Raw genomic sequence first — 20488 nt, 5'->3', positions numbered from 1 at the left:
CTTGGGAGGTCAGGCCCTGGATCTAATCTGGGAGGACAGGCCTTTTATTCTGGTTCTGCAGCCTTCACACCTCCTCAGGGGAAAGCTATTGGCCTGCTCTTGTCCATCTTCCTCCCCTTCCTTGCTGCTACTCAATTTCTGCAGTTGTGAAAGGGAGATAGAAAAGTCTGAGATCTGCCTGCTCCACAGTAGTTTAGAGGAAATGAATCGAGCAACGAAAAAAATCTCAGCTTATTGTTTTTCAATAATATATTGCTGCTTAACAAACTATTCTGAGACTTAGTGGCTTAAAATAAAGCAATTTATTATTTCTCTTGGTTTAATACAAGTACAAGACAAGATAATGTATGTAAAGCCCCGAGTAGAGTGCCAAACACAGAGTTGGCACTCGATAATTGTTAGGCCTTACCATGAAAATGACCTTGCCCAGGAGAATGTCCTGAGACCATGTGTTATTGTGAAATTGCATATTGGAGCAGCACAGGAGAACTGTTGCACAGCTTAGCACTAGGGCTGCCCCTATGGTGTGCAAGGCCGCTGGCAAATATTTGGTGTGGGGCCTCTATTTATGTAAGCAGTTCAATTAAAAATGTATCACAAAAATTCATGTACCAATGAGAGGTTTAACATTTTATTGATGAAGATTTAGAATAATAGGTAGAGATGCAGTATTTGCATATGTGTTTATTGCCACATCGATGCACATGAGGATTCTTTGTCACGTCCAGCCATCATGTCTTCTTGTTCAGGTCTAGGTACCATCTATTAGTGTTTTATTTTGTTTTGTTTTGTTTTTACTGTTAAATGCACTGGATAATATTACCTTGCCCCCTACCCTTCATGAGAAAGAGGTAGCAAGAGGTGATAGTACTCACAATGCTATGGGTTATTGGAACTGTTCGTATTGAAATCACGTAGATCTTCTTGCCCTACGGTTCCCTAGAACCCTTTATTTAATGCTGGCTACTTCATTACTCATGATACGGCATCATCTATCGTGCTGCCACAGGTATTGTCTTCCAATGACTCTCTCAGAGGTTTTTTTTTTTTTACCATGTTTTGTTGATGCTGGACAGTCTTATCCAGAGTATGCAGGAAAATATGAGTGATAAATCATTTTTCTGGTCATGTTAAATTTACCATTCAGAATTTTATAGTGTACATGCACAAAGACACGTTTTCCAACCATGTCATCTCTAGAACTCTTTAGGCCATAATCACTGTATTCCTAGCATGTGATCTCTTTCAATGTTGAGCAGATCTTGGGTGCCAGTGGTAGAGGTGAAAAGGGTAAAGTACTCCTGCTGCCACCTCTGTAAACCAGAGGCGGAATCTAGATGGACGAGTTGACACATGTACCTACACATGTGGCTCAAGCCTCTTTCTGCTTTACCTGTAATTTTCCCTTTCCTTGAATAAATGTATTGGCCAGAAAAATGAAGAAGGTTCTATATCAGTCAGTCATAGCATTGATGCACGATGCTACTACAGGGTAAGGAGGGTTTGAGGAGGGGACGGTTTAAGGAACTTAAGTGAAGAGGGGTTTCTTATTAGCATTTGGCTGTATTAGCTCTTCGAGGAGGACACTGGTTTGGCCAGGGACTCTGGTGGCAGCTTCTTAGAAATGATCTCCATTGCTAAGTATGCAGAAAGAAAATATTAGAACTCCTATTTATATTTACTTATGGTTAAAAAAATAAGAAAAAAATAAACTTCACGAGTTTAGGGTTGCCAGATAAAGTATAGGAGGCCTAGTTAAATTTGAATTTTTACGTAAACAATTTTTTAGTGTATGTCCCAATGGGGACATATTCACTTATACAGAAACATAGATATACATATACGTAGATACAGATATGTCTTATATTTGTGTGTATCTCATATAGCATACAGATATATGTTTTTTACACATGTTGTTATCACAGATAGTTATACAGATATTAGTTTTTTATGACAGGTATTATGAGGTTGTAAAATAACCTCACTTGTTCCATTTGGATCTATGCGTCTTTGTGGGATCTCTCTCGCTCTCTCTCTTTCTTTTTGTGGGGGCTGTCACAGCTTTAAAAACCAAGTATCAAAAGAAACTGAATTTAGCACAATACCTCTAAATTAAACTAAATCAAAAAATAAAAGCGCTAGTTTGATAATATTTCTCTCCTTAAAAATGTCAGATTTTTCCAGTGAGAGTAAAAGTGACTTTTGTGCCTTTAATAAATGAAACAAAATTAAACCTAATTTTAAAAATATTGCATTTTCATTTGAACGCTTTTAAGATTTCAATTTTGGGAGCATGTTTTGTAATGTGATAATACAGTAGTATATTAGAAGGTATATCTATATATATATATGCACATTGTAAATAGAGATATGTGTATTTGGAGGCGTGCAAAGATGTTGTATGTGAATAGGATGCTTGACCCCGAAAGTTTGGAGACTCCTGGCTTAAAGTACTGCGTTAGAAAAGATGTGGTATGCATGTTGGTCTTAATGGAAGCAACTACTGATCTTAAGAATAATTCCTTGTTCTTTTTTTTTTCTTTTGAGACAGAGTTTTGCTCTGTAGCCCAGGCTAAAATGCAGTGGCAGAATCTCGGCTCACTGCAATCTCCGCCTCCAGGGTTCAAGTGATTCTCCTGCCTCAGCCTCCCGAGTAGCTGGGATTACAGGCACGTGCCACCAAGCCCAGCTAATTTTTTGTATTTTTAGCAGAGACAGGGTTTCACCATGTTGGCCAGGCTGGTCTCGAACTCCTGACCTCAAATGATCCGTCCACCTTGGCCTCCCAAAGTGCTGGGATTACAGGCGTGAGCCACCACGCCCAGCCCGTGGTTCTTAAGTTGCAATCACTAACACTCTTTTGGTTGAACAGACTGCAAAATTTCACCAGATTTATACTTAGATGCCCAGACAGGAGACATTTGGAAGCCCTTCAACTTCCTGTGTAAAACCTCAGAAAGAGTGACCACACTGCTTGGGAGAGTAACTCAGAATCGTCTGTGGCAGAGACCTGGAGGTTTACAAGAACACCTCATTCCTTAGTTCCTGGCTGCCTGGAATTCATAGGGAATTTGCCAAGTACATTGTACCTCTGTATATCTAAAGACTGGGTAGGGAAGGGCAAATGGCAGTGGAGCGTGAAAACCAGGTCCTTTTCCAGCACCTCTCTCCCGGGGCAATCACATCCTGGGCTGGCGGCTTCTGCTTTGCCGCGGGAGCCTCTGAAGGGCACAACCCATCCTGGCAGCCATGAAAACAGGTGGTCCCAGCTGCTGGATTTGTTGCTCTGTAAATCAGCAATAGGCATCCATGGGATGGTGATGTGACTCACTCCAGGGCCCAGGGTGGCAGGGAAGCACTCATCCCAGCCAGATCCCCCAGCATGCTTCAGGGGTGAAGCAGCAAGGCCCTCACAACTGCAGCGAGAGAAGAGGCTGGCAGCATGGGTGGCAGGAGGCTTGGCAGCCTCACAGGATGCCTGCAAATACCTTTCACTTATGCAGTTTGGCAGTGCAGTGGTGCATGGAGACAGCGTCTTGGGCCTGGTAAGGAAATAATTGGCTTCAGAAGCAGACTTCTTAGGTTGCAGTCTTGAGACTGAGGCTTCAAACAGTGTGGGAAGGGCCGTGACATTTCCAGAAACCCTTCTCTTTTGCTGGCCAACAGATGGTGGCTCTAAATCTGCAGTGCAGTCAGGTTAGAAAAGAAGAAAGTATTTAGGGCGCTAGTAGAGCCATTATTTGAATAGTATGGAACATAATGGTTTCTTTGGTAACCAAGCCAGGGAGACACCCACACAAAGTTAGAATGCGCTGGGCTCGTTTCTGTTCCCCACCCCACCCCCTAATCCCACAAGATTAAAATAGTATAAAGAGAAAAATGAGATGCAGCAGCATTTCACACAAGAGGGGATTTGTTCCCAACGAGAATGTATTAATGACCTGTCTCTTATTTTGTGGGCAACCAGATATAGCAGGTTTTTAGTTATGAATCTGTGTTCATGGTCACTCAGATGGTTTACTCTCTGCCCAGACTTCAGCACTTATATATAGATGGGGCACTGAGAAATATGAGATAGGGAAAAAAGAGAAACATTTAACCCATTCCACACTGCACATATTCTTAGTGCTAACCAGGCGGAGGCAGCATAGAAAAGGCAAAACGCGTTTGAAAGGAAACCATTTGTCTTTGAAGAATAATTTCTCTTCAGCTCGATGAGTAATCTCTCTTCTAGCTGATAAAGTTCCAAATCCCTACTCTGGGTGAGGCTTTGAAAGTGTCAAATAACAGGATTCAGATACAAAGAGTCAAAAGACCCCCTCAGATTCATACTGCCGTCCAGTAGAATTTTCTGTGATGATGGAAATAGTCTATATCTGAACTATCCAATGGAGAAAGCACTGGCCTCATGAGGCTATTTATATTTTAATTTTAAGAAATTTAATTTAATTTAAAATTTAGTTCATCGGTTTAAATTAAATAGCCATATGGGGCTAGTGGCTACTGGATTGGAGAGTGCAGTTAGAAATTCAGAAAGTGGATGATTTTCATTACTGTAAAATCACCAAATAGTAATTTTGTCCTTCTTGTTTCACTTTGCTATTTTTTATTCTGATGTCAGCCTTGCTTGTCTGGAAGTCACCCCATAGGTTACCATAAGCAACATTTTACTTAACTGTTCTAATAATAGTGTTTCCAGGGGCCCTGAGCACTCCGCAAACATCATCTCATTAATTCCTCCAAACTCCCAATGGGACAGGTATGGAGTACAGATAATTATGTTTAATTTTATAAAAGAGAAAAACAAACAGTAGCCTCAAAATGTAAATTATTCGCAGTAAAGGGCCTTCTGGAATCCCAATGTTACCTCGTTGGCCTTTCATTGTCCTTTATAGTAGGAACTTAGCGTTTTCTCCTATCAGGGTGAACCATTCATCAAACATGTTGGGAATAAATGAAAAACCTACTGCATCTAGTTATAGATGGAATATGGTTTGCTTAACATTAGGTTTAAGCAGCTAAATATTTCTTTCCTTCTCATTTCTACTGTAAGACTTGAGACTATACTTTACTCCTAGGTAACCAAGATAATTAGAAATGTGCTGCTTGTCTAGAGTAGCAAATCATCCTCAACTTTTTTTGCCCTCTTTCATGCCTCTTTCAAGGATATAATACATGTACTTTTTTTAAAAAATGCTTCTTTATACATGGTGCTTATGAGAGTGACCAGGAAGCATATGGTAATATGCTAACCAGACAGTCCTAGGAATTGAGGAGCTCTATGAAATGCTTTGATTTGTACAATGGACATTTATGAAGCCCCTACTTTGAGTCAACAAGTGTGCCTGGGACTGTGGATACAAAGTCGGTAAAACCAGACAAAATTCCAACCCTTGCGTTTAAGAAGCTAAGAGACATTGATCAAATAATCAAGACAATATATGTAAAATTTCACCTATAGCAGGTGCCGTGGTGGGAAGGTACCTGAGCTTGTAATGGGGAGAGTTGACACAGTCAGGGAACCAGGGATAACCTGTCTGAAATTGGGGCCAAGAGCTAAAGGCTGAGTAGGAATCAACTAGGTAGAGGGCAGGTTGAGCAGAGAGTTCTAGGTAGAAGAAGCAGCATGTGCAAAACCCTGAGGTAACATGGAGCACGGTGAACATGAGGGACTGAAAGAATGCTGTTTTTGTTTGTTTGTTTGTTTGTTTTTGAGACGGAGTCTCGCTCTGTCACCCATGCTGGAGTGCAGTGGCGCAATCTCGGCTCACTGCAACCTCCGCCTCGTGGGTTCAAGCGATTCTCATGCCTCAGCCTCCTGAGTAGCTGGGATTACAGGTGCCTGCCACCACGCCCGGCTAATTTTTGTATTTTTAGTACAGACAAGGTTTCGCCATGTTGGCCAGGCTGGTCTCAAACTCCTGACCTTAGGTGATCCGCCTGCCTTGGCCCCCCAAAGTGCTGGGATTACAGGCGTGAGCCACTGCGCCCGGCCAGAAGGCTGTTTTTGGGGAAACATATAGAGGAAAAGTGAGCAAGGTACAAGATAGGATTGGAGAGGTTGGCGGAAAGCAGACCAGGCAACACCCTCAGGCTACTTTAAGGAGCTATGTTTTTACCTTACAAGCAATGGGTTCCATTGAAGGGTTATTGGGTGGAGGTGGAGGGTGTAGCCCATGAAAGATGTACATTTTCAAAAGATCCCATTGGTTTATATTGGAGAGTAGAGAACAGTTTGGATCATAGTTATACCAGGAGGTGGTGAGGAGCAGGCTTAGATTTGCAAAGACCATTCATTCTTTGCACCTGGATTTATTTTGAGCCTATCAGGCAGCCTCAGAAGTTGTACTTAACCACATTCCTCATCTATTGCATGATGTCTTTTGGTCTATTAGGGTGCTCTTATTTTTCTAGTAGGCCTAACCTCAGCAATGGTAGGTGGTGGGGAGTGGGGAAGTTCTGACCTATATAGTGTTGTAAGAATATCTTCTGTGACTGGTGATTTCACCATCTGAGGGTTTTTCCTTTTTTCCTCTTTGTTGCTCGTTTTTTCCAGAAAAGGTAAACACTATTATTTCCTTTTTTCACTTTGATGTCTTGAATCCTTCAATATATGCTGAGTTAAAAGTACTGTTTCAAATTCCTTTTCCACAAGGTTTTTATCTTACTGTGTTCCAGGCTTGTGAGACCAACTATGAATCTGATATAAGAGTTTCTGGGTTCATGCTGAAAGTATAACGATTTCAGGTGATTTGAATAATGAAATAGGAAAAAAGGTCCTGAAGTTCCATTGTGCTTTTTTGTATGTGTGTTTATTATAGTCCTTATTCATTCTGACTTACATTACAGTTATTTGCGCATGCATATGCAGCTCTTTCTACACCCCCACTCACCTTTGCCTTTACCTCCTACTCATTCTTCATATTTCACACCATCATCACTTCTTCCGGGAGGCCTTTCCTGACCTTTTTGAGTAGGAAGCTTCCCTTTCTTATACGCTTTCATGACCTGTGGTCACATGTGTAACTTCCACTCACTCTTCTGCTGTTTGGCCCGTGTCTGTCTGCTGAATGAGGAGGTCTTTGGGGGCCTGAACCTTGCCCTTGACTGAGGTCACTATTGGACCCACTGCACAAGCATAGCACCTGCTCACTCAATGTTTGCCAATGAATGGATGACACTTACAGAAATGTTCTTTAGGTCGTGGCTTTTTTTTTTTTAAATGTTTGACCTATTTCTTCCAACACTTGAAGAACTGACATAAAACTTGTATTATTGATTTCAGTCATCTCACATGTAATTTTCAGCTGAGATGCCAATATTCAAGTGGACTTAGCTTACCACTTGAAATATATTAAATATAGTCCATTTAAAATGGGAAAAGTATGTTAAGCAGCATAAAATATACAGGAATATAGTGAAGTGGTTAAGAGTACAAACTCTGAAGCCATACTGTTAGAATCTGAAATCATGGTTTTCTAGCTCCGCTCTATACCTCAGTTTCCTCATTTGCCAAATGGGGATAATAATAATACCTATTTCAAGTAATTGTTATGAGGATTAAGTGAGTTAATTTATGTAAATCACTTAGAGCAGTGCCTTGCATATGTGTTAGCTATTATTACTTCGTAGTTATTATTATTAAAAAGGACAGGTGATGTCATACTCATTAAGCCTGTGTAGCAAAAATGTTCAAGTTCTTCCTCAGCTTCTTTTTTATAAGTTGAAAATGAGCAGTTTACATTATTCTGTTTATGTTTTTGTTCAATACACTGATTTGATTTTTTTCAGTTCCCACGTTTTAGTATCATTCAGATGGTAATGGAATTAGATTGTTTTACCACCGAAGTTTATTGCAAATGCTGGAAGGCTAGGGAAAACTAGGGATACTGAGATGACACTGATAGCATCAAATAATTTGAGCAGCTTAAAAGAGGGTATAGGGGCCTCAAGGCTGCTGAATTGGGCTCCCCAGGAGAAGTGAGTGGGTGTGTATATACGTGTGTGTTGAGGGGGCGGTGCGGAGGTTACTGGACTGGAGGCAATAGGTTTATGTGTACATATTTTAAGCTTTTAATTAGAGGATAACAACCATGTAGAAAGGTGTATATGTATGATAAGTGTACAGATTGAATTTTTACACGTGAACACACCCACAGAACTAATGCCCAGATCAAGAAAAACAGAATATAACCAACAGCCCAGAAGCCCCTTCCAATCACTAATCCCCCTAACACTAATTAGTATCCTGACATCTAACCCTGTAGGTTAGTTTTGCATATCTGTATTCTTCATTTGGATAGAATCATGTAGCATATACTCCTTTGTGTATGGCTTTTATTCTCAGTACAATATATGTGAGAGTATTCTATATTGTTGTGTGTAGTTGTATGCTATTCAATCCTATGCTATATGTTATTCCATTGTGTGCAAATGTATTTTTCCATTCCATTGTTGATGGGCATTTGGGTGGCTTCCAGTTTGGGGCTACTGTGTGCTTCCTTGAACGTTCTGATGTATCATTTGGTGCACATATGTGTGTATTTCTGTTGGGCATAAGTCTAAGAGTGGAATTGCTGGGTCATAAGATATGTAAGTGTTCAACTTTAGTAGATTTTATGTGTATTTTTTCAAGTCTTAGAGGTGATTCCGATTCCTAGCCAAAGCTGAGAACCACTGATCTATAATATCTGCCCAAAAGCAAGGTTTAAGGCCACACTATCAAAGCTTGGATGAGCTCATTAAAGATGTAATATTTAAGAAGACGAACTACAAGGATCATCCACACTAACTCACAGATAATGCCAATATCTGTTGCTTCAATAGTTACCTTGCCTTCTCCATAGGGGTCGAGGTGGGTGGGTTAATGCCAGATCCTGGCTCTCTCATTTTCTTTTCTCCCTTGGTTTGACCCTGATTTCTCTCAGGTTCAGCAAAGTGGAATGCCAACCAAGAACTGGGACTGAGGGAAAGCACTGCCAAGCACTGTTAATTATTAATGAAATGAATTTGCATCAGACCAGAGGGGATTAAAGCAGCTTAAAATGAATAGCAAGTTCTTGATAAGGCTTTTCCTATTCTCAGGTGACTGGAATGATGCACTCGTGTTGGAGCACATTAATTTAATAGAAGCACTGCTTCCCCCTGTACAGCGTGGAGCTGGATGTAAGCCCAGCCCAGGGACAGCAGGTTCCTAAGCAATTTCTGCTTATATGGCTGTGGCGAAATGAAGTGACGTGAACACAACATGCTGGACTGAAAAAATGCATTAAACATACCTCAAAGCAAAATGTCCTTTAATGATACTACCACAAGCACTGGGGAGAGAAAAGGACCTTGTTGTATAGTATCAACCAGATTGCAGTTCAAACTCCAGGTCAGCTTTCCCGGCTGTAAGAACTTGGGCAAGTTACCTAACCTCTCAGAGCCTTTGAGTTCTTCATCTATAAAATGGGATAATCATATGTACCTCAAGAGACTGCATTTAAAGTGCCTGGCTCATGAGAGGCACCCAATAAATAGCAATTATTATTGCATGTGGTGCTGTGAGCAAAACTGAGAATATAACCATGTGGTAGAAAATAGCAGTGGAGAAAACGTGGTACTCTAGAAGCTAGCCTTCCGACAGATGGCAGGCCCATATTGAAAACGGAAATGTTTCCTGCTGCTACAAATCCAAAGAAGGTCTTCGAGTCTATGTAAAATATAAAGGGATGGGCTACCAGAATTTTCTATTAGTTCATTGCACACACTTGCACACACAGGCACACATACATACCAAGAGCGTATGGAAAGTTAACTATTCTTGATGACTGGTAAGAATGTCAGAGTAGCTCAGCAGGGCCTTCTAGATACATGAGTGTTAAAATTATGAGTTTCCCTTGAAGGATACTGTCCCCAGTCAAAGGAAAGTCACTTAGGTATTCGTGTTCTGCTCCGGGTAATTCCAGTCCTCCTTGGCCACAGCTGACTGGACGGTGAATGACTGTGAAAGCTGGGGCCCTTTAATCTATCTTGCTCATCTTCTAAGATCTAGTTTAACTGTCATTATTTACAGAATGCTTTCCCTAACTGTTTAAGCCATTAGGATGGAACTGACTTAGCTGGGATTGTGATATGATGGGAAATGGCTAACAAGCAGAGGGACAGACTGGTTATTCTATCTAAGCCTTAGATGCCAACTGACATGCCAAGGATGATGCTAACAGTAGTGTGACATTTACTGAGCACTTATTTTGTTAAGGAATTGAGCTCAATACTTCTCATGCATGATTTTTTTCTGATAACCCATTAAAAAAGATATGATTATCTTCCCCATGTTAGAGTTGAGGAAACCAAAATATCATTTAGTTCAGTGACTTACCAAGCTGGAAGTAAGCTTAGATCTTGTTGTTTTTAAGCTCACACCTTTCATCACCCCCTATGCAGCCTCACCATTGGTGGACCACAATGCCGATACGGCACTCAAGTTGGGAACTGTGCTGTTGTTTAGTAGAAACCATGTTCAGAGGGAATGTGGTAACATTTTTGTATACATTCTTTGTATTTGGTGATTTAGACCAGATTATTTCAAGTTGCGAAAATATTACTCTTGGTCAATTGATAGCAAGTCATTTGTTTTATGATTAAAAGGTCATTCTTTTACATTTAAACAACGTGTAATTCAATGAAAGAAATTCTGTAGCAGCATTATTAGGCCCAGGACCATATAATAGATGTTTGAAAAGCGCTTGGCATTTTTTAAGGTGCCCAAGTCATTAATTGCTTAGTTCAAATACTCCTTATACGGTAGGCGAGTACTAGAATAATCTATGTTTTAGGAAGAAGTTCAGGAGACCCTAGGGGGTAAATATGTATCCAAGTTCTTCACTGAAAGAGAGGATGCAGGCTTAGAATTCAGGATCACTAATGAGTCATCCCGGCAGTTCCGTGGTATGGAAAAGAAGTAATCTCTAGCTGCCTATATTACAAAACCATTTCAATACTTGAACTATAGGCTCTTTGGAGTTAGATTTGTGGGCAATTCAATACTACTCTCAACACTCCCATTCTATAGTTTTAATGCTGGTAGATTTCCATCAATTCATTTATCCAACCAATATTTATTTTATAATTATTGTGTGTAGACATTGGGTTCCATTCTGGAGACACAGCACTGGGCAAGACAGAGCTTACATTTGGAATGCAGACAAGTAAATTGCACCTATGTGGGGCTGACGAGAGCTGTGGACAGACACACCGAAGAGGTGGGAGGTAGCTCTGGTACCTGAAGCTTGTGTCTGCTAAAAGTGTTCCAGCTGTCCTGGAGTCTTCCCTATCAGTTACCAGTTTCCTCTCTTCAGGATTCCTCAAGAAATGGAGGAACATGGACCCAGAACCCTCCAGACTAGTGGTTCTCACTTTGGTGAGCATATGAATCACTAAAGAGGAACTTGTAAGATACTGAGGCCCAGGCCCTGCTCCACTTTACCCAAACTGGACCTCTCTGTCCATCAGCTCTCCAGGCAGTCCTGACTCTGCCTCACTCCTCATTTTGGGAACAACTGCTGTGGACTAACACCACACCATTGCACTGGATGTAGTCTGATGTGTGGCAGTTAAACTGTTTGCTATGGTTTTTTCCTGGAGTGTGGAATGGGATCTCCTACACGATATCTGATTTCAAGAGACTTTGGCTCATTTGAAGCTAAATTACTTAAAGTGGGGAGGTGCAATTTTCTATTTCTTTTCATGTTGGGTACCTTGCCCCTGACCTATGTCTTTGTTTTATTGCACTCATTTTCTTTGAAGTTGTTTCTGAGCAGAAAACATTTTATTTAAAAGTGCTCTTATGAATTTGAAATGTGACATTAAATAAGAAATACCAGCACCGAAACAGAGACAACATGACATTGACTGAAGACAGCATACCTTTGGGGGAGAATTCCCGTTTCCCATTTCATTTGTTCCTTTTCCATTTTCATTGTTTTGAGACAAGCTTTCCACTTGCTACTGCGTAACTTCAGGGAAGTTGCTTAACCTTTCTGTGCTTGTCTTCTCATCGGTATCATGGGGCTGGTTATAATAATAGTATGTACTCCCAGCGTTGTTATAAGTGGTTGTGTTCACACATGGAAACGCTTAGAATCTGACACCTAGTACGTACTAAGTAAATGTTCCTGCTATTATTTTTTAATTATATTTTTAAACATCTCATTCCTCCTTGTGCACCTCTTGTTTCCTTTCTGAATTATGTTGACACTGAAGACCAATGGGTTCTGCCACGGTTAATTTAAAAAGAACTGGGGCCTCATAAAGGACTAAAAGAAAATTAAACTAGCCTCATGGTTACTACCAATACTTCTTATAAACATAATGTTTGGAAACTGGGGATTAAAGTTTAGGAGCAGAACTTGTTGCCAGCCAATGGCTGTGTGGAACTGTGCTTCTGAAAGGGTGAATCAAAGACCAGCTGTATCAGTTCCCCTGGAGCTCTTCTTTAAAAGTCAGATTTCAGAGCCCCACCCCAGAGCTTCCACAGAGGAGCTTTGCAATCTCTTTGTTCTTTCTACCACAGTCCACATCCAACTCTCTTCCCCTTCCCAGAACATAGCAGAGGGGCCAAGGTCAGAACCACATGCAGACTGTGTGTAGAGTCAGAGTAGGTAGGGGACTGCTTCCACTGTGGAACATGAATTTTTTTTTTTTGTCATATGCAATTTGTCAAGCTTATTTCTCCAGGATTTATATTAGATGATGCAAAAAATCTTTCGATTGTTCAGTCTTTCAGGACGAAAGCTGCAGACCCTAACCCCTGCACTGATTCCTACAACCTACATAACCAAGTTATAAAACAGTAGCAGTAACCGAAACGAAACGATCTTTAGCTTTCTAACTGCTGTATTTGTTATTTTGTTGGTTTTAATCTTTGCTATAACAATTGGTGATCATCTTCAGAGTGCCAAAAGTGACCTCAACTTATCATGAATAAAACGGTATTTCAAAACCAAAACTCCTGCCTTTGGTTTTTACGCCATTTACTTTTTTTTTTTTTTTTTTACTTTTAAGCCACTGAATCTCTTGGCTTTGTCTTCTCTTTTGCCTCCACATTTATCCCTTAGGTGTGATGACAGAGCTGTTTGCCTGGTTTTCACCCCAGTGCCCCCAGGGACATAGTCCACACTTCCTTAGTTTTTCTGTCGGGAAGCTGCATCCTCTTCAGCTGCAGAGACCCTCACCCTGACATTTGCTAGCGTAGCCTGCACTTTACCCCTTCATGGCGTATAGGGAGGTTGTGGTCAGACCTTAGAAGGTGATGAGCTTTTCCTTTTCCTGTCAGAGTACTCTTCATTATTTTATTTTTCCCATCACAAAAGTTGATTTGAACCGCAGGTCTCTCTTCCCTCAGCTTTCCTTATCTCTCCCCAGCTTCACTGCAAAGCCCTCCACTCTTGCTCTGCCACCCACGTTAATTCCTTGTTTGCTTTACAACTTCAAGTTTCCTCTTCTTTAAAAAATGTATATTCATCACTACCCACCCTCTTCTAGGAAGAGTGACATATATACTTTGCTTTTGTACACAGAAATAAAACCACAAGTATAAATAAGGATTTTGTGCATGGACAATTTGGGAAATGGGAAGAATTGGTGCACTAGATACATTTAAAAAATATGGTTTATTTAGTGTCATTTGTGTTTGGCCATTTCTACAGTGGATGCATTTTGTTTCAGGTTTCCGTATTTTCATTTTCATTCTCATGTACCAATTTTTAAAGGGGCCTTTCTTATGCTACAATACCAAATTTAGTAGTGTGGTCACCCTTATACTGTGTTAGTTTAACATTACATTTTTTTTTTATGAGAAATTTCCCATTTGCTAAAGAAGCAAAATAAAATGTGTCCATGGTATTCATGTACCAATTTAGATGTGTTTTTAAAAAAGTTTTTATCTTGAAATAATTATAGACTCACAGAAAGTTACAAAAATAGTACATAGAGTCTTGTGTATTCTTCCTCCGGTTTCTCCCAATGGTGATATTTTATACAGCTGTAGTCTAATATCAAACTAAGAAATTGACATTGGCACAACACCGTTATCTAGATTGTAGATCTTGTTTGGTTTTCGACATTTTGACTTGTATTAATTTGTGTGTGTATTTGTATTTTTATGCAATTTTATTCCACGTGTAGATTCGTGTAACCACCATGACAATCAAGATATAGGATAGTTCCATCACCACAAAGTAACTACCTCCTGCTACCACTTTATATTTGCATACCATGGCAACTACAAATGTGCTTTGCATCTCTCTTGGGAGGTCGAGGTGGGAGGATCAGTTGAACCTAGGAATTCAAGACGAGCCTGGGCAACATGGCAAGACCTCATGCCCCCTCTGAAAAAAGAATATTATGTAAATAAAATCATATGATATGTAGCCTTTTGAGAGTGACTTTTTGTTAAGCATAATGCTCTTTAGATTCATCTATGGTATTGCCTGCGTTGATAGTTTATATCTTTTTGCTGTTGAGTAATATTCCATTGTATGGATGGACCAGAGTTTATTTAACCATTAACCCGATGAAGGACTTTTGGATTGTTGCCAGTTTTTGCTACTATGAACACAGCGGCTGTGAAAATTCATGTGTAGGATTTTATGTAAGCATAAGTTTTCATTTCCCTGGGATAAAGGCCCAAAAGTATGATTGTGTGGTCATGTTAATCGCATGTTTAATTTTATGAGAAGCTGTCAAACTGTTTTCCAGAGTGACCATACCATTTTATATGACTACCCATAATATACTAGAGATCTAGTTGTTCCCCCTTTCCCCCTCCCTGCCAGAATTTGGTCTTCCACTATTTTTTATTTTAATCATTCTGATATAGATGTAGTGATATCTCGTTGTGGTTAAAATTTACATTTTTCTAATGGCTGACGAAGTAGAGCATGTGTGCTTATTTGCCATCCTTGTGAGTGAAATGTCTGTGTCCTTTGTCCTTTTCATAATTGCATTATTTAACCGTTGAGTTTTTTATTGTGATAAAATATACATACAATATACATTTATCATTTTAACCACTTTTAAGCGTATAATTCTGTGACATTTATAACATTCACAGTGTTGTGCGACCATCATCATTATTTCCAAAATATTTTCATTACCCCAAACAGAAACTTTGTGTCCATAAGCATTAAGTCCCCATTCCTCATTCCCCCTACCTCTTGTTAAACTTTAATCTACTTTCTGGCTCTATAAATTTGCCTCTTCTAGATATTTCATACAAGTAGAGTCATACAACGTTTGTTCTTTTGTGTCTGGCTTATTTCATTTAGCATAATCTTTTCAGGGTCCATTTATATTGTAGCATTTATCACAACTTGATTCCTTTTTGTGGCTGAATAATATTCTATTATATGGATATAACACATTTTGTTTATCCATTCATCTGTTCATAGACTTGTGGGTGTTTTCTCCTTTTGGTTATCTTAAATAACGCTGCTGTGCATATTTGTGTACAAGTACCTGTTTCAGTCCCTGTTTTCAATTCTTTGGGGGTATACACCTAGGAATGGAATTGCTGGGTCATATTCTATATTTATCGTTTTGAGGCAATGATTTCTTAAGTATGACACTAAAAACATAGGAAACCAAAGAAAAAATAGATAAATTGGATGATTAAAATTAGAAAGTTTGTGCATCCAAAGACACTATTAAGAGAGTGAAAAGACAACTCACAGAATGAGAGAAAATATTTGCAAGTCATATATTTGATGAGTTTAATATCCAGAATACATAAAGAGTTCCTATATCTCAACAATAACAAGAAAAAACAACCCAACTTAGAAATGGGCTAAGGATTTGAATAGATGCTTCTCCAAAGACATACAAATGGCCAGTAAGCAATGAAAAGCTGCTCAACAGCATTAGTCATTACTGAAATGCAAATCAAAACCACAGTGAGGTGCCACTTTACACCTACTGGGATTGCTATAATTTTTATATAAAAAGGAAAATAAGAGTTGACAAGGATGGAGAGAAATCAGAATCCTGTATGTACCTTGTATTGTTGAGTTTTGAGAGTTCTTAATATATTCGAGATACAAGGCCTTTGTTGGATTTATGTTTTACGAGTATTTTCTCCCCAATATATAGATTTTAAATTAAAAAAAATTAACTTTTCTTTTCGGTTTGGGGGTATATGTGAGGATTTGTTTTATTGCTAAATTTGTATCACGGGGGTTTGTTGTAGAGATTATTTCATCACTCAGGTACTAAGCCTAGTACCCAATAGTTATTTTTCCTGCTCCTCTCCCTCCTCCCGCCCTCCACCCTCAAGTAGGCCTCAGTGTCTGTTGTTGCCTTCTCTGTGTTCATGAGTTCTCATCATTTAGCTCCCACTTACAAGTGAGAACGTGGTATTTTCGTTTTCTGTTCCTGCATTAGTTTGCTGAGGATAATAGCTTCCAGCTCCATCCATGTTCCTGCAAAAGATATAATCTCCCTCTTTTCTATGGCCACATAGTATTCCATGGTGTATGCATATTTAATACCACCTTTTCTTTATCCAGTCTGTCACTGATGAGCATTTAGTTTGATTCTATTTCTTTGCTATTGTGAATGGTGCTGCAATGAACATTGGCACACGTGTGTTTTTACGGTAGAATGATTTATATTTCTCTGGGTATATACTCAGTAATGGGATTGCTGGGTCAAATGGTAGTTCTGCTTTTAGCTCTTTTAGGAATCATCATACTGCTTTCCACAGTGGTTGAACTAATTTACACTCTCACCAACAGTGTATAAGTGTTCCCTTTTCTCCACAACCTCGCCAGCTTCTATTATTTTTTGACTTTTTAGTAATAGCCATTCTGACTGGTATGAGGTGGTATCTCACTGTGGTTTCAATTTGCATTTCTCTAATGATCAGTGATATTGAGCCTTTTTCATATGCTTGTTGGCAGCATGTATGTCTTCTTTTTAAAAGAGTCTGTTCATGTCCTTTGCCCCCTTTTTAATGGGGTTAATTATGGAAAAAATCAGAAAATGCTGAAAACTCTTAAGTCACCTAAAATCCATGCACACTGATTTTTAAATTGACAACATTGGCTTGTTGATACTGCAATCTTTTCTTTTGGCTTACTTCCTTTTCTTTCTCATCATTATGAATTATTTTAGTCTCCCAATTTTGAATATATCTTTGTTAATCTTTGAGGTGCCTACTGTCTATTATAGCTCCTACGCCTAAGGAAGCTAATTATAATTCAGTGCGTTGAAATGGGACTCTAGTATACTAGGCTTACATAAGGGAATTTACAGTCTTGTATATTTTCTCGTCTGTGAATAGTAATATTTTAGTAGCACTTGGGTAGGTTTTGTACATCTTTGAATCATACAATGGACAGTATTTTCATCAGTTATTCTAACATATTTACCTTCTATCATAGCTTCATCACTTTAATTTTCTTTTTTTCTTTAGGTACTCTTATATATGTATACATATTTATATCTCCTAGATGTGTGGGAAAATATCAAACTTTTTAACATTGGATTCTTTTTTCAACATGGTAATGATGTTTTAAATAATTTTAATTTCTATTATCACCAGTGGAAACCATATTTATTATAGAAGTTTCCGGTGATTAAAGAGAAGAAAAATTTTTAAATTACCTGAAATCCTACCACTCAGGAAAGACTGCTATTTATTATTTTATTGTAAATCCTTCAGGACCTTTAGAACATTTAAAATCTCTATTCCTCAATATTAAACTATCCTGTAGATCTTACTTGGTGTTAGTCATATCTCTGGGAGCAGAATCGGAGTGTCTGCACCCTGTGCTTGAGGGACTGAGGTATGACCAAGGGAACCTGAGGCATATGCCCGCTTTGCTTTTATGGCTTAGGCGTCTGTGTCCAGCAAATGCCCAACTTATGACCTAACCAGTGAATTGGTCTAGACTTTGCAGAAACCTCTATAACTCATTTTATATCCTCCTCCTACCCCTACTCCTCTCTGAGACTCTGGGCAGGGCCAGACCTGAGCCAACATCTTTTCCTGAGAACTGCCTCCTGGTCTTGCTTGGCCTGCCAAGGTCAGGCTGGATATCCCCCTTACAAACAGAAGGCACCCATAGTTTTTGTCTCTCCACACTAATCCCACCAAAGGGAAGGGATCTAGCAGCTGCAGCAGCAGCAGGAGAGAGAGAGAAAGGTACCTCTTGTGGTTCCATTCTTGGAAGCCGCTATCACCAGAGCTCTGGCCTATTGGGGCCTCAAGATGACTTCCCTCAATGCCTGCCAGAGCTCTCCCACTTGAGGTTAGAGGGAGGAGAAGAGGGTTGTAGCCACCTTTCCTGAAGACGGGTAGGATGACCTGCAGGTGATGTGAACTCCATTCCTGGCCTGTGAGGTATATAACCTACCCCCCTTGCCAGCCTCTGGAAAGGTCCAGGAGAGAGGGGGTGCATTCCCATCTTGTCACTGCTGTATTCTCAGAGATGTGCAGCAATGACTGTGGCCTCAGCAAGCCCTTCTTCTCCCACTCCAAAAAGCAGATTGAAATATAAAACTGACATCATTACAGGGATGGCCTTAAATTGCCTCTAGTTCATAAAAATAACCAAATTGATCTCCAACTTGTTGCTAGTATTGGTAAGAAAAAAAAAACATAGGGCTCATTCTACGATTGATTCAGGTGTATCAGTATATCTCAGTTTTGTCACATCATAAGCCTTGCCATCTCTTAGAACTGCATAATTTCTGCATTCCTGAGCTCTGATGCCCTAGTCCATCAACTTAGTTACGATCATCTTTTTCTTACTGATCTTGCGCACCTCCTTCCTGGCCCTCTTGTCAATTCATTTACCCTATGACTGAGACAGAGTGGTCTTTCTGAAGGGTACATCTGTTCCTGGTCCTCCCTGGCTCACCAGTGTTACCAGGATGGCAGCTAGGGCCATGATGGGCTGGTCTCTGCTTACTAGTTCTCTAGCCTCATGTCCTCTCCCCCCAGCCATTCTAAGCCTCTAGCACTTCCCAAAAGGCCTTTCCTGCCTCCATGCCTTCCCTACATATCATTCCTTCTACTACAGTGTTCTTTCAATTGTTCTTCAGAGTCAAACTGAGCATTTCTCTCTTTTGAGAAAAGTTCTCTGCCTTATGGAGGGCAAACCTCTAGTATAGCTGTGCCAACTGCGAATTTATTGTCCTCTCCTAGGACTACACTGCAAATATTTTGAAAGAGATTGTGGTTTATGTGGTTTTGCATCCTTAGTGTCTGAATAGAGATATTTGCTGAATCAATAAGTATAATTAAAAACCTACACATATGTTTTCATCCTTCACCTGTGTTTAAACAAACACATATTTAAAACAAATTTCTTCTCAATATTTCTGTCGAATGGATCACATTATACTACCATATTTGTTTTTCCCCCACTGAGAGGAAATCTTCATAAGCATGAGCTCCAAATAACATTTCTTTGAGGTGACTGTCTTAAAAATACAGCATGAGAACATTTTCGAACACAGGAGTTGACCCCTTTTGACACTCATGATTTCTCTCGTTATCAGAATCAAAATATGAATACACATGGTTGGATGATCCTTCGACATTGATATAACTCTGCCTTTTAATATCATTGCCTGACTCAGTTAACCCCTGAACGTTTTATTAATCATTCTTTCACATTCTCTCTACTGGATTTTCTTCCCCTGTAACTGATTTCAGTCTTCACCAGCTCTTTGAAAGCATCATGATTAAGGCCACGCCTTTGCCACATCTGGCCTTGTCTCCATTTATACTTTGAATAAACTACGGCATTACTTCCCAAACTTGAGCATGGTGCGTCAGAATTCTCTGGAGGGCTTGTGAAAACATGCCTGGCTGGGCTCCAGCCCCAGAATTTCTGATTCATTAAGTTTGGGGTGGGGTTGAGAATTCACATGTCCGAGCAGGTACCCAGGTGATGTTGATACTGCTGATTTGAGAGCGTACTTTGAGACTCACTGCTCTACTAACCTGCCTAGCGCCGTTTGCTAATTTTCACAGCTGTAGCCTCTTAACTGAACACCTGTTGATTCCGCCGCACACGGGCTCTGGGACCAGTCTGTGCTGGGAAGGAATATAAGGCCTTTAGTTGGCTCAGTAACATATAACTTTGCTACTGATTCCATATGGGTCACAGACCTGGGCCTTTGCTCAGAGTTCCAGTCCTCACATTTTAGACCTTCTTGGATTTCTTGCCGCACATACGATTTCCTCTGGGAGTAGGATGCTTTTATTTCCCTTGCCCAGTTCTTTCTGGAAGCTGAAGATCAGCAGGTATGTTCACATCTCACACCTAGGCATCTCCCTGCTTGCCTAGTTCTCCATCTGTGGCCCAACGCTCACACTGGCATTCTTTGTTTGCCTGTGCTGATTTCTTCCGGTTGCCCGTTGTTAAGACTTTGAGGTTTGCCTGCTCTGTGCCAGTGAGTCTGTCTGGTCTCCAAGACCTCATTAATTCTTATC

General features: G+C 40.0%; 1 long non-coding RNA gene across 1 annotated transcript in view; it reads left to right on the top strand.

Annotated features, from left to right (window-relative positions):
* The first annotated feature begins 3412 nt into the window (after positions 1–3412).
* PTCHD1-AS (PTCHD1 and PHEX antisense RNA) overlaps positions 3413–20488 on the top strand; it is a 1100142-nt gene continuing 1083066 nt past the window's right edge. Inside the window, exon 1 of the long non-coding RNA NR_073010.2 lies at positions 3413–3545. This is a non-coding gene — a long non-coding RNA (PTCHD1 and PHEX antisense RNA). The remainder of the gene's footprint in view (positions 3546–20488) is intronic.

The sequence above is a fragment of the Homo sapiens genome, chromosome X (genome assembly GCF_000001405.40).
Source record: "Homo sapiens chromosome X, GRCh38.p14 Primary Assembly".
In the NCBI taxonomy this organism is placed as follows: Eukaryota; Metazoa; Chordata; class Mammalia; order Primates; family Hominidae; genus Homo; species Homo sapiens.
Note: the sequence above shows the minus strand (reverse complement) of the source record. Positions and strands in the feature narration are given on the sequence as shown.